The 19,927-nt window shown below is 52.3% G+C and overlaps 2 protein-coding genes across 3 annotated transcripts, besides 10 other annotated features; one reads left to right on the top strand and one right to left on the bottom strand.

The window, feature by feature from the left end:
• On the top strand, positions 8,592 to 15,699 carry EPOR (erythropoietin receptor). 2 transcript variants are annotated; one of them, NR_033663.2, is made up of 8 exons: positions 8,592 to 8,813; positions 9,674 to 10,059; positions 10,801 to 10,976; positions 11,057 to 11,214; positions 11,697 to 11,850; positions 11,935 to 12,022; positions 14,128 to 14,215; positions 14,311 to 15,699. NR_033663.2 is itself a non-coding variant. In NM_000121.4 (8 exons), the coding sequence occupies exons 1-8, from the start codon at positions 8,699 to 8,701 to the stop codon at positions 14,920 to 14,922; spliced, it is 1,527 nt and encodes a 508-aa protein (NP_000112.1). In that variant the 5' UTR covers positions 8,592 to 8,698; the 3' UTR covers positions 14,923 to 15,699. The 2 variants fall into 2 exon arrangements, 1 of the variants encoding a protein (NP_000112.1); NM_000121.4 differs by having other exon boundaries at positions 9,674 to 9,809.
• Positions 9,293 to 9,352: a silencer, noted in NCBI's record as "silent region_10110". NCBI's record gives its function as "represses an Ori minimal core promoter by ATAC-STARR-seq in GM12878 lymphoblastoid cells {active_cell/tissue: GM12878}" and the evidence as "EXISTENCE:reporter gene assay evidence [ECO:0000049][PMID:35858748]".
• Positions 10,806 to 10,895: an enhancer, noted in NCBI's record as "active region_14015". NCBI's record gives its function as "activates an Ori minimal core promoter by ATAC-STARR-seq in GM12878 lymphoblastoid cells {active_cell/tissue: GM12878}" and the evidence as "EXISTENCE:reporter gene assay evidence [ECO:0000049][PMID:35858748]".
• Positions 10,906 to 10,965: an enhancer, noted in NCBI's record as "active region_14014". NCBI's record gives its function as "activates an Ori minimal core promoter by ATAC-STARR-seq in GM12878 lymphoblastoid cells {active_cell/tissue: GM12878}" and the evidence as "EXISTENCE:reporter gene assay evidence [ECO:0000049][PMID:35858748]".
• Positions 10,952 to 11,489: an enhancer, noted in NCBI's record as "NANOG-H3K27ac-H3K4me1 hESC enhancer chr19:11492093-11492630 (GRCh37/hg19 assembly coordinates)". NCBI's record gives its function as "activates a minimal SCP1, AML or CMV promoter by ChIP-STARR-seq in naive and primed H9 embryonic stem cells {active_cell/tissue: H9 hESC(naive and primed)}" and the evidence as "EXISTENCE:reporter gene assay evidence [ECO:0000049][PMID:30033119]".
• Positions 11,216 to 11,285: an enhancer, noted in NCBI's record as "active region_14013". NCBI's record gives its function as "activates an Ori minimal core promoter by ATAC-STARR-seq in GM12878 lymphoblastoid cells {active_cell/tissue: GM12878}" and the evidence as "EXISTENCE:reporter gene assay evidence [ECO:0000049][PMID:35858748]".
• Positions 16,737 to 18,240, bottom strand: SWSAP1 (SWIM-type zinc finger 7 associated protein 1). The gene is made up of 2 exons (NM_175871.4): positions 17,977 to 18,240; positions 16,737 to 17,393 (listed from the first exon to the last, which is right to left on the bottom strand). Exons 1-2 carry the CDS (start codon positions 18,223 to 18,225, stop codon positions 16,890 to 16,892), a joined length of 753 nt encoding a protein of 250 aa, NP_787067.3. The 5' UTR covers positions 18,226 to 18,240; the 3' UTR covers positions 16,737 to 16,889.
• Positions 17,511 to 17,560: an enhancer, noted in NCBI's record as "active region_14012". NCBI's record gives its function as "activates an Ori minimal core promoter by ATAC-STARR-seq in GM12878 lymphoblastoid cells {active_cell/tissue: GM12878}" and the evidence as "EXISTENCE:reporter gene assay evidence [ECO:0000049][PMID:35858748]".
• Positions 17,581 to 17,660: an enhancer, noted in NCBI's record as "active region_14011". NCBI's record gives its function as "activates an Ori minimal core promoter by ATAC-STARR-seq in GM12878 lymphoblastoid cells {active_cell/tissue: GM12878}" and the evidence as "EXISTENCE:reporter gene assay evidence [ECO:0000049][PMID:35858748]".
• Positions 17,891 to 17,940: an enhancer, noted in NCBI's record as "active region_14010". NCBI's record gives its function as "activates an Ori minimal core promoter by ATAC-STARR-seq in GM12878 lymphoblastoid cells {active_cell/tissue: GM12878}" and the evidence as "EXISTENCE:reporter gene assay evidence [ECO:0000049][PMID:35858748]".
• Positions 18,161 to 18,230: an enhancer, noted in NCBI's record as "active region_14009". NCBI's record gives its function as "activates an Ori minimal core promoter by ATAC-STARR-seq in GM12878 lymphoblastoid cells {active_cell/tissue: GM12878}" and the evidence as "EXISTENCE:reporter gene assay evidence [ECO:0000049][PMID:35858748]".
• Positions 18,331 to 18,410: a silencer, noted in NCBI's record as "silent region_10109". NCBI's record gives its function as "represses an Ori minimal core promoter by ATAC-STARR-seq in GM12878 lymphoblastoid cells {active_cell/tissue: GM12878}" and the evidence as "EXISTENCE:reporter gene assay evidence [ECO:0000049][PMID:35858748]".

Genomic DNA, 19,927 nt, shown 5'->3' with positions numbered 1-19,927 from the left:
TAAGGTGGAAGGATTTTGAGCCCAGGAGTTTGAGACCAGCCTGGGCAACATAGTGAGACCCCATTTCTACAAAAAAATACAAAGATTGGCCAGGCGCGGTGGCTCACGCCTGTAATCCCAGCACTTGGGAGGCTGAGGCAGGCGGATCATGAGGTCAGGAGATCGAGACCATCCTGGCTAGGTGAAACCCCGTCTCTACTAAAAATGCAAAAAAATTAGCCGGGCGTGGTGGCGGGCGCCTGTAGTCCCAGCTACTCGGGAGGCTGAGGCAGGAGAATGGCGTGAACCCAGGAGGCGGAGCTTGCAGCGAGCCGAGATCGCACCACTGCACTCCAGTCTGGGCGACAGAGGGAGACTCCATCTCAAAAAATAAAATAAAATTTAGCCAGGTTTGGTGTCCTGCACCTGTAGTCTCAGCTACTCTGGAGGCTGAAGCACGAGGATCACTTGAGCCCAAGAGGTGGAGGTTGCAGTGAGCCGAGATTACTGCACTCCAGCCTGGGTGACAGAGCGAGATCCTGTTTCAAAAAGCAAAAAAAAGGGCCAGGCGCAGTGCTCACACCTGTAATCCCATCATTTTGGGAGGCTGAGGTGGGCGGATCACTTGAGGTCAGGAGTTCAAGGTCAGCCTGGCCAACATGGTAAAACCCTGTCCCTACTAAAAAATATAAAAATTAGCTGGGCATGGTGGTGGGTGCCTGTAATCCCAGTTACTCAGGAGGCTGAGGCAGGAGAATTGCTTGAATCCAGAAGGTGGAGGTTGCAGTGAACCGAGATCATGCCATTGCACTCCAGCCTGCGTGACAAAGTGAGACTGTATCTCAAAAAAAAAAAAAAAAATGCTGGGCACAGTGGCTCTAGCACTTTGGGGGGGCAAGACGGGTGGATTGCTTGAGGCCAGGATTCCAAAACCAGCCTGGCCAACATGGTGAAACCCCTTCTCTACTAAATATACAAAAAATTAGCCGGGCATGGTGGCAGGCTCTTGTAATCCCAGCTACTCGGTAGGCTGAGGCAGGATAATCACCTGAACCAGGCAGGCAGAGGTTGCAGTGAGTCGAGATCGCTCCACTGCACTCCGGCCTGGGCAACAAGAGCAAAATTCTGTCTGGAAAAAAAAAAAAAAGAAAAAGAAAAGGATTGTGAGGATGAAAAGAGAGGCGTGAGCTCTCTGTCAGCGTTGGAGTACAATAGAGAGGATGAAATGAGCTGTAGGGCGAACTGCTACATAGTCACAACCACAATAATATGCCCACTTATGAGCTCCTACTCAGCAGAGAACATCAGCTATGGTCTTTACATCTCATTGCACTAATCGAGTTCTTTCTGTTGCAAGCGACCAAAAACCCAATTCAAAGAGGCATGTGCAAAAAAGGACATTTGTGGCTTATGCAGTTGAAATGTCCAATGAGTAGGGCTTCAGGCACAGTTGCATCCAGGCACTCATAAGATGTCATCAGGGTTTTCTTGCTGTCTCTTTGCTCTGATTTGCTCTGAGAATGAGATAGTCCATTGTCCCCTCAAATTTAATCACCTTCTTCTATGGTAATGGAACCACTGATTTTTAGCTGGCCTCCCAAAGTAAAAGCCATATTTCCCACCTCCTCTGCAGCAAGGTGTGGTCATATCTGGCCACTGGCTAAGTCTTGGCCAATAAGATATAAAGGGAAAGGATGTGAACAAATTTCAGAACCTGCCCTTAAAGGGAAGCGGTGTGTCCTTCTTTTCCCCCTTTCCTCCCTCCTGCTGGTGGGAATGAAGACGTGGAGTGGATCATTTTGGATTAGGTGGTTCACACTGTCTGAATAGCTGAGCAACAAGCTAGAAGGAGCCTGGGCCTATGAGACCAGGGAGCTACCATATTGGACTGTTGATACTTGGAGTGTTACATAAAAGAGAAATAAATTTTTATCTTACTTAAGCCACTATTATTTGAGTTGCTGTTACAGTAGCCCAAATAATATTTTATTTAATATAGCTGTACTCATAGCTGGGTGTGGTGGCATGCACCTGTAATCCCAGCTACTTGGGAGGCTGAGGCGAGAGAATTGCTTGAACCTGGAAGGCGGAGGTTGCAGTGAGCCGAGATCGCTCCACTGCACTCCAGCCTGGGAGACAGAGCAAGACTCCGTCTCTACAAAAAAAAAAAAAAAAAAAAAAATACACACACATATATATATATATAGCTCTACTCCAAGGCAGGCTCATACCTTGTGGAGGCATAGGCTTATATCCCAACAGCTCCCCCATCCCATGCAAGCAGAGCCCCTCCTTCCCATCAGCTCCAGCAAAAAGTCCCAGAGCAGGCGCCCATTGGGCCAATTTGTGTCATGTGTCCACCTCTAAACCAATCACTGTGTTCAGGGGAATGAGATGTGCTGATTAGCCAGGCCTGGGTCCTGCGCCCACCCTTTGAGCTGGCACAGAAACTTTGAATCACAGGGGTGGAGCCTGGGAGAGTCCATAAGTGGACATTAAATGTGGGGGCTGTTATGAGGAGAAGGGGGAGTTCTGGTGAATGGGCAAAAAATAATCACTAGGTTTTCAAACATTATCCCTGGAGCAATAATGAGGAATGCCCAGGAATTATGTGGGTTGGGAGTAGAGATACAGAAATTTAAGTATCATATAAGGTCTGATGAAAGACCAATTACTAGCACACAACATGCTTTTTTTTTTTTTTTTTTTTGAGACAGAGTCTTGCTTTGTCGCCCAGGCTGGAGTGCAATGGCGAGAACTTGGCTTACTGCAACTTCCGCCTCCCCAGTTCAAGCGATTCTCCTGTCTCAGCCTCTTGAGTAGGTAGGATAACAGGCGTGTGTCACCACGCCTGGCTAATTTTTGTATTTTTAGTAGAGACGGGGTTTCACCATTTTGGTCAGGCTGGTCTCGAACTCCTGGCCTGATGATCCACCTGCCTTGGCCTCCCAAAATGCTGGGATTACAGGTGTGAGCCACTGTGCCTTGCCGCTCCTTTACAGGCTTTTTTTAAATTTTGGTCTTCTGTGAGTATTAAGACCTTAAGACCAGCCAGGCACAGTGGCTTATGCCTGTAATCCAGCACTTTGGGAGGCCGAGTCAGGTGGATCATGAGGTCAGGAGTTCGAGACCAGCCTGACCAACATGGTGAAACCCCATCCCTACTAAAAATACAAAAATTAGCCAGGCGTGGTGGTGCACGCCTGTAATCCCAGCTACTCAGGAGACTGAGGCAGGACAGAATCGCTTGAACCCGGGAGTCGGAGGTTGCAGTGAGCCGAGATTGCACCACTGTACGCCAGCCTGGGTGACAAAGAAAGACTTTGTCTCAAAAAAAAAAAAAAAAAGAAAAGAAAAGAAAAAGAAAAGAAAGACCTTAAGACAATTTGGATATTTTTTGCCCAAATGGGTATTTTTTTCCTCTGTCTCCCAAATCCCAAAGTGTTGGGATTACAGGCATGAGCCACCGCATCCAGCCTCTTAAGATCATTTGGATGTTAGTTCAGCATCCTTCTTGAACTAGTTTAAGCAAATTGCTATACTTACTGAATGCTTATTGTATGTCAAGATACTGTTTTAAGAACTTGACACAGGGGCCAGGCGCGGTGGCTCACGCCTGTAATCCCAACACTTTGGGAGGCCGAGGCGGGCGGATCACCTGAGGTCAGGAGTTCGAGACCAGCCTCAACATGGAGAAACCCGTCTCTACTAAAAATACAAAATTAGCGGAGTGTGGTGGTACATGCCTGTAATCCCAGCTATTCGGGAGGCTGAGGCAGGAGAATCACTTGAACCTGGGAGGCGGAGGTTGCAGTGAGCCGAGATTGTGCCATTGCACTCCAGCCTGGGTGACAAGAGCGAAACTCCATCTCAAAAAAAAAGAAAAAGAAAAAGAACTTGACACAATCTAATTTAATCCTTACCATAGCTCTATGGAGTAGACATTATTTTCACTTTATACATTTTATTTATTTATTTACTTATTTATTTATTTTTAGAGACAGTGTCTTGCTCTGTAACCAGACTGGAGTGCAGTGGTGCGATCATAGCTCGTGGCAGCCTCGAACTCCTAGACTCAGGTGATCCTACTCAACCTCCTGAGTAGCTGGGACTACCGGCACATACCACCACACCAGGCTAATTTTTCTTCTTTTTTGTAGAGTCAGGGTCTTGTTATGTTGCCCAGGCTGGTCTCAGACTACTATCTTCAATTGATTCCCCTGCCTCGGCCTTCCAAAGTGCTGGAATTACAGGCAAGAGCCACCATGTCTGGGCCGGAAGAGACACTTATCGTCCACTATTTTTTTTTTTTTTGAGATGGGGTCTCACTCTGTCACCCAGGCTGGAGTGCCGTGGTGTGAACATGGTTCACTGTAGCCTCCACCTCCTGGGCTCAATTAATCGTCCCACTTCAGCCCCCTGAGTAGCTGAGACCACAGACGCATGCCACCTCGCCTGGCTAACTTAAAAACAAAGTTGGCCGGGTGCGATGGCTCACGCCTGTAATCCTGGCACTTTGGGAGGCTGAGGCGGGTGGATCACCTGAGGTCAGAAGTTCAAGACCAGCCTGGCCAACATGGTGAAACCCTATCTCTACTAAAATACAAAAATTAGCCATGGCGGGTGCCTATAATCCCAGCTACTCAGGATGCTGAGATGGGAGAATCACTTGAACCTGGGAGACGGTGGTTCCAGTGAGCTGAGGTCATACCACTGCACTCTAGCCTGGGCAGCTGAGCGAGACTCCGTCTCAAAAAAAAAAAAAAAAAAAGTTGGCTGGGCGTGGTGGCTCACACCTGTAATCCCAACACTCCAACACTTTGGGAGGCCAAGGCAGGCGCATCACCTGAGGTCAGGAGTTCGAGACCAGCCTGGCCAACATATAGCGAAACCCCGTCTCTACTAAAAAAAATACAAAAATTAGCTGGGCATGGTGGCACACATCTGTAGTCCCAGCTACTCGGGAAGCTGAGGCAGAAGAATCGCTTGAACCCGGGAAACAGAGGTTGCAGTGAGCCGAGATGGCGCCATTGCACTCCAGCTTAGGCGACAGAAAAAGACTCCGTCTCTCAAACAAACAAACAATGTTTTGTAGAGACGGGATCTCACTCTGTCACCCAGGCTGGAATGCAGCGGCATGAACATGGTTCACTGCAGCCTCCACCTTCTGGGCTTAAGTGATCCTCCCACCTCAGCCTCCCGAGTAGCTAGGACCACAGACGGGTGCCACCTCATCTGGCTTACTTAAAAAAACAAAAAACAAAAAACAACAACAAAAAAAAAACGTGTTTTATAGAGACAAGGTCTCACCATGTCAGCCAGGCTTCAGGCAAGGGAGGGTTAAGTAACTTACTCAAGGTCCCATGGTAAGTGGGTGCTGTTCAAATATTGATCCAACTCCAGAAAACATGCATTTAACTCTGGGGCCCGTTTGCCATTCATAACAATTTATTGTGACCAAATTTTGAAACAGGTGTCCATCTTGTTTGTTCCACCTCCCTCTCACATACATGCACAGTCTAAATATCAATTTCCTGAGGAAGAGATTTGCGTTGACTTCCGTTTTTTAAAAGCGCAGGGTTACGCAGGCACAGTTGTACCCAGTGGCTAACACGAGATCAGCTGTTTCTCTACCTCTCTCAGCTTGATTTTCTCTACATCTCTAATCTTTTACTCCACAAAATATTTCTTGAGCTTCTACTGTGCTCCAGGCCCTGTTCTATATGCTAGGGATACAGCAAAGAACAAAAGGGTAAAAAAAAATCCCTGCCTGAGGCTGGGCGCGGTGGCTCATGCCTGTAATCCCAGCACTTTGGGAGGCCAAGGCGGGCGGGTCACAAAGTCAGGAGTTCGAGACCAGCCTGGCCAACATGGCGAAACCCCGTCTCTACTAAAAATACAAAAAAATAGCCGGGCATGGTGGCGGGTGCCTGTAATCCCAGCTACCCGGGAGGCAGAGGCAGGAGAATCACTTGAACCCAGGAGGCGGAGGTTGCAGTAAACCAAGATCATGCCATTGTACTGCAGCCTGGGCAACAAGAGCAAGACTCCACAAATCAATCAATCAATCAATCAATCAATCCCTGGCCGGGCTCAGTGACTCATGCCAGTAATCCCAGCACTTTGGGAGGCTGAGGCGGGGGGATCACTTGAGGTCAGGAGCTCAAGACAAGCCTGGCCAACACAGCAAAACCCCGTTTCAACTAAAACTACAAAAATTAGCTGGGTGTGGTGGCACACACCTGTAGTCCCAACTACCCTGGAGTCTGAGGAAGGAGAATCGCTTGAATCCAGGAGGCGAAGGCTGCAGTGAGCCAAGATTGTGCCATTGCACTCCAACATGGGCAACAGAGCAAGACACCATCTAAAAAAAAAAAAAAAAACCTGCTTTCATGGAATAGTAAGGGCAGCGAATCAATAACAAAACATCAAATACATGTCAGGTGACAATAAGCACATTGGCTACAAACAAAAACAAAAAACCCACCTGCTTAATAGAAACAGGGTAGGAGTATTGCCATTTTATTTTATTTATATTTATTTATATTTATTTATTTATTTTATTTATTTATTTTTTTGAGACGGAGTCTCGCTCTGTTGCCCAGGCTGGAGTGCAGTGGCACAATCTTGGCTCACTGCAAGCTCCACCCACTGGGTTCACACCATTCTCCTGCCTCAGCCTCCCGAGTAGCTGGGACTACAGGCACCCGCCACCACGCCCGGCTAATTTTTTCTATTTTTAGTAAAGACAGGGTTTCACTGTGTTAGCCAGGATGGTCTCGATCTCCTGACCTTGTGATCCACCCACCTCGGCCTCCCAAAGTGCTGGGATTACAGGCATGAGCCACTGTGCATGGACTATTTATTTATTTTTTTGAAACAGAGTTTCAATCTTGTTGCACAGCCTGGAGTGCAATGGTGTGATCTCAGCTCACTGCAACCTCTGCCTTCTGGTTTCAAGCAATTCTCCTGCCTCAGCCTCCTGAGTAGCTGGGATTACAGGCACCCACCACCACGCTCGAATATATATATATATTTTTTGAGACGGAGTCCCGCTCTGTCACCAGGCTGGAGTGCAGTGGCACAATATCGGCTCACTGAAACCTCCGGCTCCTGGGTTCAAGCGATTCTCCTGCAGCCTCCCAAGTAGCTGGGATTACAGGCATGCAGCACCACGCCCATCTAATTTTTGTATTTTTGGTAGAGATGGGGTTTTACCATGTTGGCCAGGATGGTCTTGATCTCTTGACCTCGTGATCTGCCCACCTCGGCCTCCCAAAGTGCTGGGATTACAGGCGTGAGCCACCGCGCCCGGCCTACGCCTGGCTAATTTTTGTATTTTTAGTAGAGACGTGGTTTCGCCATGTTGCCCAGGCTGGTCTCGAACTCCTGACCTCATGATCCGCCTGTCTCGGCCTCCCAAAGTGTTGGGATTACAGGTATGAGCCACCGCGCCCAGCCAATTATTATTATTTTTTGAGATGCAGTCTCACTCTGTTGCCCAGGCTGGAGTTGCAGTGGCATGATCTTGGCTCACTGCAATCTTCATCTCCCAGACTGAAGCAGTTCTCATGCCTCAGCCTCCTGAGTAGCTGGGATTACAGGCACACGCCACCACACCTGGCTAATTTTTGTATTTTTAGTAGAGATGGGATTTCACCATGTTGGCCAGGCTGGTCTCAAACTCCTGACCTCAAGTGATTTGCCCACGTCGGCCTCCCAAAGTGCTGGGATTATAGGCGTGAGCCACCGGGCCCAGCCCAAGAGAATAAAAATGTGGGTGGTAAAAATTTTTTTCCCAAAAATTCGTAAATGAAAATCTCACATATTATGCATACTGCCCAGGAGCATGGCCTAGCACTGTGCAAACACTCAACTGCTGGTCGTTGCAAGGATTATTATTGGCCGGCTTCAGTGGCTCGTGCTGGTATTCCCAGCACATTGGGAGATGGAGGCTGGAGGATTGCTTAAGTCCGGGATTTCAAGACCAGCCTGGACAACATAGTGGGATCCCATCTCTACAAAGAATTTTAAAAATTAGCCAGGTGCAGTGGGAAGATTGCTTCAGTCCAGAGGCTGCAGTGAGCTATGATTGTGCCACTGCACTCCAGCCTGGGTGACAGAGCAACACCCTGAGACAGAGAGAGAGAGGGGGAAGGAGGGAAGGAGGGAAGGAAGGAAGGAAGGAAGGAAGGAAGGAAGGAAGGAAGGAAGGAAGGAAAGGAGAGAGAGAGAGAGAGAGAGAGAGAGAGAGAGAGAAAATAATTTTTATTTATTTCCAGGCTGGGAAGAGATGCTGATTTCTGCGATAAAATCAGTAGGTACATTTTTTGGAATGTTCGCTATGTGCCAGGCTAGATTTTACAGATGAGAAGTCTGAAGCTCAGGTAAGGTAAGTCACCTGTCCAGGGCCACAAAGAAAAAAAAAACGTGTGTCTGAAGCCAGAACGGGAGCTGTTGCGGCCCAACTCCCTCCCCTGCCCCCAAGCGGCCTCTGGGCTCGGGAAGGGCCCCTGCCTCCTCCCGCCAGGCACTTATCTCTACCCAGGCTGAGTGCTGGCCCCGCCCCCTCGGGGATCTGCCACTTAGAGGCGCCTGGTCGGGAAGGGCCTGGTCAGCTGCGTCCGGCGGAGGCAGCTGCTGACCCAGCTGTGGACTGTGCCGGGGGCGGGGGACGGAGGGGCAGGAGCCCTGGGCTCCCCGTGGCGGGGGCTGTATCATGGACCACCTCGGGGCGTCCCTCTGGCCCCAGGTCGGCTCCCTTTGTCTCCTGCTCGCTGGGGCCGCCTGGGCGCCCCCGCCTAACCTCCCGGACCCCAAGTTCGAGAGCAAAGGTAAGGATGAGCTGCGTGTGGACCCCTACGCTGGAGCCTGCAGGACCATGCTGGGGCCTGAACTCCCAGCCTAGGTCCTGGGGGCCATGCCTGTTTCTGGACTTCCTGACCGGGTCCTGGGGGCCAAGCTGGCATCTGAACCCTTAGACTGGGTCCTGGATGGGTGGGGGGCGGGGTGGGGTATGTTAGGATCCAAGACTCCTGATCGCGTCCCGGGCAAGAGCTAGAGTGGGCTTAACATTCCCGTTTTACCTTTTCAGGGAGTCTGGGACATGCTAAATCCTAAGGGGGCTGACTTGGTGCTAAGGTCCCTGGGGGGTGGGGACCAAGCCGACCCTCCCTAGGGGAGGGAGGGTAAAGCCCGGGTCCGAGTTAGAGGGGCCAAGCCACAGGCTACTGTAAACACGGTTTGTGTGAGGGCGCCAGATCACTTGCCCGGCCCGGTGGAGGGAGGGAGGCGGGGGGCACGGTTGGCGCTATCGGTTGGCGGGGAGCCTGCCGGGGCCGATAGGGGGCCCGCCTCTCCGCACACACCCCCAGCCGCGCGCGTGTCCTAGGCTGGGGCGGGGCTGGCAGTCCCGAGCTCGAGGTCTTGAACGCCGCGCCCAGCTCAGCTGGCCGCTGGGTGGGCAGGTGTGCGCCAGTGGTGACGGCGGGGGACAGTAAGGCGAGAAACTTGCCCCTGGGAATTAGGGGGGCACCACCTCTGCGGACCCCTCCAAGGGACCCGCTTGGGAAGATGGCAGGGCGGGGCTTTTTTCTTATCGGGTCCGCCCAGGCTGCGGGAGGGAAGAGGAGGGGGCTGTCTCCCGAGGATAGAGCTCAGACCCCCATGCCCTTCCTTTGTCGCCCCTCCCCAGCGGCCTTGCTGGCGGCCCGGGGGCCCGAAGAGCTTCTGTGCTTCACCGAGCGGTTGGAGGACTTGGTGTGTTTCTGGGAGGAAGCGGCGAGCGCTGGGGTGGGCCCGGGCAACTACAGCTTCTCCTACCAGCTCGAGTGAGTCCGATCCGGCGGGTGCCTCCAAGGGCGGAGGGAGGGGGTGGGGCAGAGCTCCCTGGAGGTCGTAGCCTCGTATGTCCCCTGCTGTTTGAGGCCCGACGGCGCCTCCAGTCGTGGTCACTGGAGGGAAACCTGCGGGTCCAGGGCTGGCACGCCCTCTATGGGCCGGGGCGCGAACACTCCCGCGATCACCGCTGGAACGCGACCCCAAACATCAGGCTGGGATAACAACGCCTCCAAATCGAGGGTAAGGCGTTACTACGTCGGGGCTGGGACGCCTTCTCGAGGTAGTATCCAAAAGGAGGCCAGCAGTGGCTCATGCCTGTAATCCCAACTCTTTGGAAGGTCGAGGCGGAAGAACCGCTTGAGCCCAGGAGTTCAAGACCAGCCTGGGCAACACAGCGAGATCCCCGTCTCTTAAAAAAAAATTAGACTGGGCGCGGTGGCTCACGCCTGTAATCCCAGCACTTTGGGAGGCTGAGGCGGGCGGATCACCTGAGGTCGGGAGTTTGAGACCAGCCTGGCCAACATGGAGAAACTCTATCTCTACTAAAAATACAAAATTAGCCGGGCGTGGTGGCGCATGCCTGTGATCCCAGCTACTCGGGAGGCTGAGGCAGGAGAATCGCTTGAACCCGGGAGGCGGAGGTTGCGGTGAGCCGAGGTAGCGCCATTGCACTCCAGCCTGGGCAACAAGAGCGAAACTCCGTCTCAAAAAAAAAAAAAAAAAAAGCCAGGCGTGGCGCGTGCCTGTGGTCTCAACTACTTGGGAAGCTGAGGTGGGAGGATCCCTTAAGCCCCAGAATTTGAGGCTGCAGTGAGCCATGATCGCGCCACTGCACTCCAGCCTGGGCGACGAAGGAACACCTTGTCACACACACACACAAGGCTAGACCTTGTGTCACACATACACACTGCCCCCCACAGGCCGGGCAATGCCAACTCCCCGGTCCCCCCTCCCAACCTGCTCCCTTCCCTGGGCGCATAGGGATGAGCCATGGAAGCTGTGTCGCCTGCACCAGGCTCCCACGGCTCGTGGTGCGGTGCGCTTCTGGTGTTCGCTGCCTACAGCCGACACGTCGAGCTTCGTGCCCCTAGAGTTGCGCGTCACAGCAGCCTCCGGCGCTCCGCGATATCACCGTGTCATCCACATCAATGAAGTAGGTAAGTGCTCTGGGAATGGAGGAGTGGTCGGAGGAGAGGGTCTCAGTCCTCGCCCACCTGACCAACCCCCATGCCTGCAGTGCTCCTAGACGCCCCCGTGGGGCTGGTGGCGCGGTTGGCTGACGAGAGCGGCCACGTAGTGTTGCGCTGGCTCCCGCCGCCTGAGACACCCATGACGTCTCACATCCGCTACGAGGTGGACGTCTCGGCCGGCAACGGCGCAGGGAGCGTACAGAGGGTGAGGCCAGCCCCTACGGCCCAGCCCCCAAAGCTCCACTGACTACGGCCCAGCCACGCCTCTCGAGGTCGCGCCCGGTGCCGCTTTCAGGGCCGGTCCGTAACATCCCACATCCCATTACCCTGGTGCTGAAGACCGTTCCACGCCCACAGACACACCCCCTTTCCTAATGTCCTCGCAAGCCTGTTGAACCCCAACTTCTTCTCCCTCCGGCCCGTAACCCTAGACCCCTTTAGCGCCCGGGTCCCTCTACGAGTGCTAGCCCAGATATTAAATTGCCCGGGTCCCGCCCTTTCGTACCAGAGACTCTCTCTCTGATTGGCCCTGAGCTTTCTTGGGCTCCTCCCCCTACTCTTATTGGTCCCATTGCAATTCTAGGGCACCGTTTTCCTTTCCCCTGATTGGCTCAGTTCCACCAGGGCCCGCCCCCACGTCATCTATTTTTGTCTGCTACGCGTCCCTCGCCCTGATTCCGCCCCCAGGTGGAGATCCTGGAGGGCCGCACCGAGTGTGTGCTGAGCAACCTGCGGGGCCGGACGCGCTACACCTTCGCCGTCCGCGCGCGTATGGCTGAGCCGAGCTTCGGCGGCTTCTGGAGCGCCTGGTCGGAGCCTGTGTCGCTGCTGACGCCTAGCGGTGAGGCCCCAGGCGGGGGTGTAGGAGGAGCCAGGGCGAATCACGGGGCAAGCCCACCGCCCTGACCTCCTCCCCGCCTCTTAGACCTGGACCCCCTCATCCTGACGCTCTCCCTCATCCTCGTGGTCATCCTGGTGCTGCTGACCGTGCTCGCGCTGCTCTCCCACCGCCGGTGAGCTCCCCATTTGGGCGCTGGGCCCAGACTCCTCCCCGCCAACGGTCCTCTTTCACTATGGAAACCTAGGCTCAGAGAGAGACACGCACTTGCCCAAGGTCACGCAGTAAGGATTCACATCAGTGGCAGGGCTGGGATGCATGCCAGACTAGACCCAGACTCTTCGTTAACATTTTCTGCTCTTGGGGACTTTCACCTGATTTTCCTTCTACATCAGGGGCTGCCATTTCTTGGGTCCCTTTGTTAGTTCCTTTCCCCAGTGTCATCACCTTTGTAAAATCAACTAGATGGATTTAGTGAAAGAATTTAAGACCCTGAATGCCTCCGCACCCCTGCGGTCAAGCTTCTCAGACACTATGATCAGACTAGCCGTTCTGAGGTATTTGTAATTCCAAGCACACACTAGGTGGTTTCACACCCCCAAGCTTTTGCCCATGCTGTTCCCTCTGCCTGGAATGCCCTTCCTGCCTTGTCTGCTAAGCAATCTTCTAGTCGTCTTTCATGGCCCTGTTCATTTACTTGGTTGGAAAATACAAACAGAGTGCCAAACATGTGCCAGGCACTGGAGAGAGAATGGAGAACAAGCTAGACCCTGACCACAAGTCCCTGACCTTGTGGATCTCAAGTCAACAAACAAGGGACCCAAGAAATATTTGATGACAAATTGTAATGAGTGATATCACAGAAACAAACAGAATGTGGTGACATGACAGGATGGTCAGGGAAGGCCTCCAGGAGGAGGTGACATCAGAGTGGAAACCTGAAGATTGGAAGGAAGCAGCCGCTTGAAAAGTGGGGAGAAGAAACAGCAAGTGCAAAGGCCCTGAGGTGGGAATGAGATTGGAACGTTCAGCCAGCTTCAAGAATTGCCACATGGCATGGCCTGGCATGGTGGCTCACGCCTGTAATCCCAGCACTTTGGGATGCCGAGGCAGGCAGATCACCTGAGGTTGGGAGTTCGCGACCAGCCTGACCAACATGGAGAAACCCCACCTCTACTAAAAATACAAAACTAGCCAAGCGTGGTGGCACATGCCTGTAATCCCCGCTACTCGGGAGGCTGAGGCAGGAGAATCACTTGAACCTGGGAGGTGGAGGTTGCGGGTGAGCCGAGATCGTGCCATCGCATTCCAGCCTGGGCAATAAGAGTGAAACTCCGTCTCAAAAAAAAAAAAAAAATTGCCACATGGCTAGAGTGGTATGTAAGGGGGTGTGGCAGATATTGAGATGAGGGAGGTGACAGGGGTCATATAACGCAGGGCCTTCTGCAGGGTGGTGGGGAGGAGTTTGGAATTTTTTTTTTTTTTGAGACAGAGTCACTCTTGTCGCCCAAGCTGTAGTGCAGTGCAGCAGTCTTGGCTCACTGCAATCTCTGCCTCCCAGGTTCAAGTGATTCTCCTGCCTCAACCGCCTGAGTAGCTGAGATTACAGGCGTGCATGCCCGGCTAATTTTGTAGTTTTAGTAGAGACGGGGTTCCACCATGTTGGCCAGGCTGGTCTCAAACTCCTGACCTCAGGTGATCTGCTCACATCAGCCTCTCAAAGTGCTGGGATTATAGGCATGAGCCACCGTGCCTGGCTTGGATTTTATCCTAAATGCCTTCTCTCATTACCCCAGAAGGTAACATAATATTTATCTATGAAGTGACATCATGGACCTCCTGGAAAAATCTGGGCCAGGGTTTTGGGTTTTTTAATTTATTTTATTTTATTTTTTTTAGAGATGGGGGTCTCACTATGTTTCCTAGGCTGGTCTTGAACTCCTGGGTTCAAATGATCCTCCCACCTCAGCCTCCCAAAGTACTGGGATTATAGTGCTGGTGTAAACCACTGCACCTGGCCATGGCCAGGATTAAAGGGAGAATGACCAAGGTATATTGAACTCCTATGCACCCTTCAATACCCTGTTCCATTTACCCTTTTGTAGGGCCTTGCTGATGCTTCAGCCAAAACCCCTGTCCCCTGGCCCTGATGTACTCCTCTGCCTCCATTGTGATCACAGGGACCAAGTGTATCTGTGCCTCTATGACTGGGAGTGGAGGGGGAATTGGTGAGTATTCAATGAGTCATATCTATGTAACTATTTATATTGGCTTCAACAGGGCTCTGAAGCAGAAGATCTGGCCTGGCATCCCGAGCCCAGAGAGCGAGTTTGAAGGCCTCTTCACCACCCACAAGGGTAACTTCCAGGTAGGTGGCCTGGTTGTCCCCTCAGTGCCTGGGCTTCCCTGCTTCTTGCAGCCAAACTGCAGGCCTCTCTGAGCAGGTTGGTGCTATTTCTTCAGCTGTGGCTGTACCAGAATGATGGCTGCCTGTGGTGGAGCCCCTGCACCCCCTTCACGGAGGACCCACCTGCTTCCCTGGAAGTCCTCTCAGAGCGCTGCTGGGGGACGATGCAGGCAGTGGAGCCGGGGACAGATGATGAGGGCCCCCTGCTGGAGCCAGTGGGCAGTGAGCATGCCCAGGATACCTATCTGGTGCTGGACAAATGGTTGCTGCCCCGGAACCCGCCCAGTGAGGACCTCCCAGGGCCTGGTGGCAGTGTGGACATAGTGGCCATGGATGAAGGCTCAGAAGCATCCTCCTGCTCATCTGCTTTGGCCTCGAAGCCCAGCCCAGAGGGAGCCTCTGCTGCCAGCTTTGAGTACACTATCCTGGACCCCAGCTCCCAGCTCTTGCGTCCATGGACACTGTGCCCTGAGCTGCCCCCTACCCCACCCCACCTAAAGTACCTGTACCTTGTGGTATCTGACTCTGGCATCTCAACTGACTACAGCTCAGGGGACTCCCAGGGAGCCCAAGGGGGCTTATCCGATGGCCCCTACTCCAACCCTTATGAGAACAGCCTTATCCCAGCCGCTGAGCCTCTGCCCCCCAGCTATGTGGCTTGCTCTTAGGACACCAGGCTGCAGATGATCAGGGATCCAATATGACTCAGAGAACCAGTGCAGACTCAAGACTTATGGAACAGGGATGGCGAGGCCTCTCTCAGGAGCAGGGGCATTGCTGATTTTGTCTGCCCAATCCATCCTGCTCAGGAAACCACAACCTTGCAGTATTTTTAAATATGTATAGTTTTTTTTTGTATCTATATATATATATACACATATGTATGTAAGTTTTTCTACCATGATTTCTACAAACACCCTTTAAGTCCCATCTTCCCCTGGGCATAGGCCATAGGGATAGAAGTTAAAGTTCTTGAGCTTATTCAGAAGCTGGATCTGCAATCTGAATGCTACTCATAACATAACAAAATAGTATGTTAAACAGCTCTTAAATCTTACTGGCTTACCACATTAAATGATTTCTCTCTCCTAACTCAGCTCAAATGGGCAGCCATCCATGGGATGAGTCAGAGGTTCAGACTCTTCCAGTCTGTAGCTCTACCTTCTCTTAGGGTACTTAGATGGATCCCCTGTTCTACAAACTGCCAGTCAGCAAGGGAAGAAAAAGGGCAGCAATGACCCTCAATGGGCCATTTGAGGGATCTGGCCTGGAAATGGGCTTCCTCTCTTCTTCTCACACCTCACTGGCTGGAAACAGTCACATGACCCCAGTCACATGAAAGGCCAGGAAACTTAGTTTAGCTGTACACCCAGGAAGGGCAAAGCTGTTTAAGGGCCACTAGCTAGTCTCTGCCACTAATAATAATAAAAGTAATTCTGAATCAGGCCATGTTCTAAGAAAGTACTCTGATGACACTTGGTGTCAACAAGTAACTCAGTGGGAGTTTTGCTTTAACTACTTCTTTTTTTTTCTGAGACAGGGTCTCACTTTTGCACAGGCTGGAGCCCAGTAGCTCAAACATGGTTCGCTGCAGCCTCGACCTCCTGGGCTCAGGCGATCCTCCTGCCTCAGCTTTTCGAGTAGCTGGGACTACTGGCGTGCACCACCAAGCCTGACTGATTTTTTTTTTTTTTTTTTTTGAGACAGAGTCTCGTCTTCATCACCCAGGCTGGAGTGCAGTGGCTCGATCTCAGCTCACTGCAACCTCTGCCTCCCGGGTTCAAGCAATTCTCCTGTCTCAGCCTCCCAAGTAGCTGGGAGTACAAGTGCATGCCACCATGCCTGGCTAAATTTTGTATTTTTAGTAGAGACGGGGTTTCACCATGTAGGCCGGGCTGACCTCGAACTCCTGACCTCAGGTGATCCACCTGTCTCGGCCCCTAAAAACACACACACGTACCAGGGCATGTGTGCAAGAATGTTCGCAGCAGTAAATAAGGCAATCTGATGAAGAAATCAGGGTATAGTCACCCATGGAATTATATGCAATATGGAAAAAGGAATGAACTAAAAAAATGTAGATGAATCTTAGTAACAACGTTGAGTGCAAAAAGAAGGAAGTCTCAAACTTTTTTTTTTTTTTTTTTTTGAGATGGAGTCTCGCTTTGTCACCCAGGCTGGAGTGTAGTGGCACAATCTCGGCTCACTGCAACCTCCGCTTCCTGGGTTCAAGCAATTCTCCTGCCTAAGCCTCCTGAGTAGCTGAGACTACAGGCACCTGCCACCACACCCAGCTAATTTTTTTTGTACTTTTAGTTGATACAGGGTTTCATCATGTTGGGCAGGCTGGTCTCCAACTCCTGACCTCTGGTGATCTGACCGCCTCAGCCTCCCAAAGTGCTGGGATTACAGGCGTGAGCCACCACGCCTGGCCTGAAGCTCTTTTTATAAAGTTTAAAGCAATGAAACTATAAACAACATATTGATTGGGTAAAATATATACAAGATAATGCTATACTTTTAAAAGAGAAAAAGCACTTTACATTGTTTAGGTCTTTGGATCTGCATATGTCCCTGAGGTAAGTATTCCAGCCATGGGAAACTGAAGCACAGAGAGGTAGTCACCCACCAAAGCTCAGGGCTGGCCTCCAGAGCTTGAACCCTTGCCTGAGCTGGGGTCACCAGCCTGGGTGGGCCACGGAGCGATCATCATTTCTCCATCTGATCGGAAAGTCACCCACCACTCTGTTCTGGGGCCCAGCCCGCCTGGCTCCAGGCAGGCTCGGAGGCCGTGCTCTCCTGGACCTGGTGCATCTGGCTGCAGCCAGCACTGGGCAGGAAAATACCGCTGGAGCAGTGCCAGGTGCAGGACGTCCCCACTACCTGCTTCCTCCTGGGTCTGGAGGGCCACCATGAGCCCACAATCCCGGCCAGGCCCAAGCCGGTGGCTGAAGTGGGCAGCTGTGTCTAGAAGTAAGGCAATGAGGTAGGCGGCTTCCTGGGGCTCTGGGTCTTCCGCTAGGTACTCTTCTAGGCCGTCGAGCAGCAGAAGGGAGGGGGCTGGCCCCGGGGCCTCATGGGCAGAGCACAGGAGCCGGAAAAGCTCTCGGGTTGAGGGTGGGTACTGGAAGCGGATCTTCTAGAAGGAGAAACAGAAGGAAAGGGCCGGATTCAGCACAGGAAGCCAGACTCCTTAAAAGTAACCCTGCCTCCTTGCATACTTTCCTTGGTTCCAGGATGAACCAGTTCAGAGCTGTTAAATATTCTTATATTCGCCCGTTTTTCCAGCACTCATCACTGCCGAGTATTAGTTGAGGGCAAGCCATTTTTGCTTGTTTGTTTTTGGCCAAATCTCTAGCGCAATTTTTCCACGGAAAACCCTCCCCCAGCATTCTCGGTCTGACCCCATCCTTGACACTAACAGGAACCAACTCAGGTCCAGAATGGACCCAAGCTTAGCCCCGCCCCTTGATGGGCCGGACTTCAATCTCTGGGCACCGCCTCTTGCTAACACCGCCCATCATTGGATGGGCTCTCACTTCAATCTTAACTAAGCTCCGCGTGGTGCCACTCCTCACTCCGCCTGCCTGACTCCGCCCCATCGTGGCTGCCCTGGCTCGCTCTTCCACCGTCCTCTCCATTGGCTTGTCTACCTGTTACTCAATATCCCGGATCTACTCCACCATTGGCTAGAACGCCTCTGCTCCCACCCCCACGGTTACCTGGAGTCGCATTGGGTCTAGAGTCGTTCCGGTCCCGCGGGGCATGCTTTGAAGAGGCCTTCGTGTCAGGAAGAGGACTGGGCCTTGGCCCTCCCCCGCCGCCTCTAGGGCCGCAGCAAATAGCAGCGCTGTTTTTCCAGATCCTGGTGTACCGAGCAGCAGCAAAGGCGGTCCGGCGGCAGGCATGTTCTCCTCCCCGGACCAGGCCGCACCGCCCCTGGTTAGCACCCGCCTCAGCGTCTCCGCCATTCGCCGCGTAGCTCTGACCAATCGGTGGCTCGTTCCCAGCCTTAGTCCCGCCCAAGCCGTGGCCGCATCGGTACAGTTCACTTAGTTTCTCTATTGGTCTAGGAATCTGTCCATCAAAACTCGATTCCTCAGGTGAATGGGCAAATGGTTAGAACCTATGCGGAGGAATGGGTGCATTCGAGGGAAATAAGACCCTTCCCTGAGGGAGGCTGCTGGGGGAACCAGCACGAATACTATTATTGTCAGCTAATCAGACAAATATAAGGGTTGAAAGTTGGAGGAGTAGACCAGAATGAGTGACATATTATTTAAAGGCTCCTAGCCTCAGTTTGCCCTGCTGTAAAATGGGGCTTATGATATCTCAGAGGAGTATTGTGATCGGCATGTATTTGTGTGTGGTTTTGCTGATGTCATCCAATGACAACTGAGAGTTTTGGAGAGGGGGATGAGCTGTGTGCTTGTCTTTCTGTGCACCTGAGTATGGGCCGGAGTGTGTGTCTGGGGACACAGGCTCGTGGACAAAACATCAACGGCCATCCCCGAAAGTCTGTGAGATGAAGCCTCTCAACTTACTTCCTCACTGGCTAAGGGGTTCTGTGGGGCCGCCTTTGTGGTACGGGGGGAAGGCAGGACCGCAGGACAAAGAAGGAAGCAGGAGAGATAAAGAGACAGGAGCTGGAAGACTGAAGGAGAGATACAGCAGGGACATTGTCTTGTTCACTTCTGTTCTCCAGTACCGAGAATAGCACCTAGCACATTTGTAGGTTCTCAAATACGTGCTCGTTAAGACAATGAAGGAAGGGAGGTGGGATTGATGAGAAACAGGGAGAAAGGGAGGAACAAAGTGAATGATCGTGATCCCTGGCTGGATCTTCTCACCCAGACTTCGCCCCAGAGCTGCCACTCACGCCTGTGTTGCCCTGGCAACCTTGTCTCCTGGTAACTCCAAAGTGGTGCCGTTGCCTGGAGACCCAGGGGCAGGGAGAAAGTGAGATTTCCTGGGCTTTCTCTCTCCCTCTGGGACCAGAAAACAGCTCCACGACATCCCCCAACACACCCACTCACACAGCTGGGCTCACTCACACCCCTCTACACACACACACACACACACACACACACCATGGCATCTCTGAATATATTCTACTTTCAGAATCCCCATCATCCACATGCTCCAACCTTGCCCTATCCTGACACAAAGCATCCCATACAAACTCTGTCCCACATTCATCCCCCACACCCTTTCTCTTGCAAAACACGCAACTATGACATTGCCACTACACACACAGACACACACAGTGAAGCACACCGATACACTGCGCTGTCAAACACGCCACCTCAGCCCCCATCCCCCAGCAGATATACAACGCATGATTCACCTCACATTTCAACACTCCAAATGCACATACAGGCCAGGTGTGGTGGCTTATGTCTGTAGTCCCAGTGCTTTGGGAGGCCAAGGCAAGAGGATTGCCTGAGGCCAAGAGTTCAAGACCAGCCTGGGCAATGTAGGGAGACCCCCATCTCTACAAAATACTTCAAAATTAGCCAGGTGTTGGCCGGGCGCGGTGGCTCACGCCTGTAATCCCAGCACTTTGGGAGGCCGAGGTGGGCAGATCACAAGGTCAGGAGATCAAGACCATCCTGGCTAACACGGTGAAACCCAGCCTCTACTAAAAATAGAAAAAAAAATTAGCCAGGCATG

Source organism: Homo sapiens, chromosome 19 (genome assembly GCF_000001405.40).
Source record: "Homo sapiens chromosome 19, GRCh38.p14 Primary Assembly".
Classification (NCBI taxonomy): domain Eukaryota; kingdom Metazoa; phylum Chordata; class Mammalia; order Primates; family Hominidae; genus Homo; species Homo sapiens.
The sequence above is the reverse complement of the archived record's forward strand: the minus strand, read 5'-3'. Positions and strand labels throughout refer to the sequence as shown.

Bases quoted from the DNA above. Each gene is read 5' to 3' on its own strand.
- EPOR (NM_000121.4), top strand. From the start codon at position 8,699: ATGGACCACCTCGGGGCGTCCCTCTGGCCCCAGGTCGGCTCCCTTTGT. The intron at 10,977-11,056 runs GTAAGTGCTCTG...CCATGCCTGCAG, and splicing joins CATCCACATCAATGAAGTAG to TGCTCCTAGACGCCCCCGTG. The intron at 11,851-11,934 runs GTGAGGCCCCAG...CCCGCCTCTTAG, and splicing joins GTCGCTGCTGACGCCTAGCG to ACCTGGACCCCCTCATCCTG.
- SWSAP1 (NM_175871.4), bottom strand. From the start codon at position 18,225: ATGGCGGAGACGCTGAGGCGGGTGCTAACCAGGGGCGGTGCGGCCTGG. The intron at 17,394-17,976 runs GTAACCGTGGGG...TTCTCCTTCTAG, and splicing joins TAGACCCAATGCGACTCCAG to AAGATCCGCTTCCAGTACCC.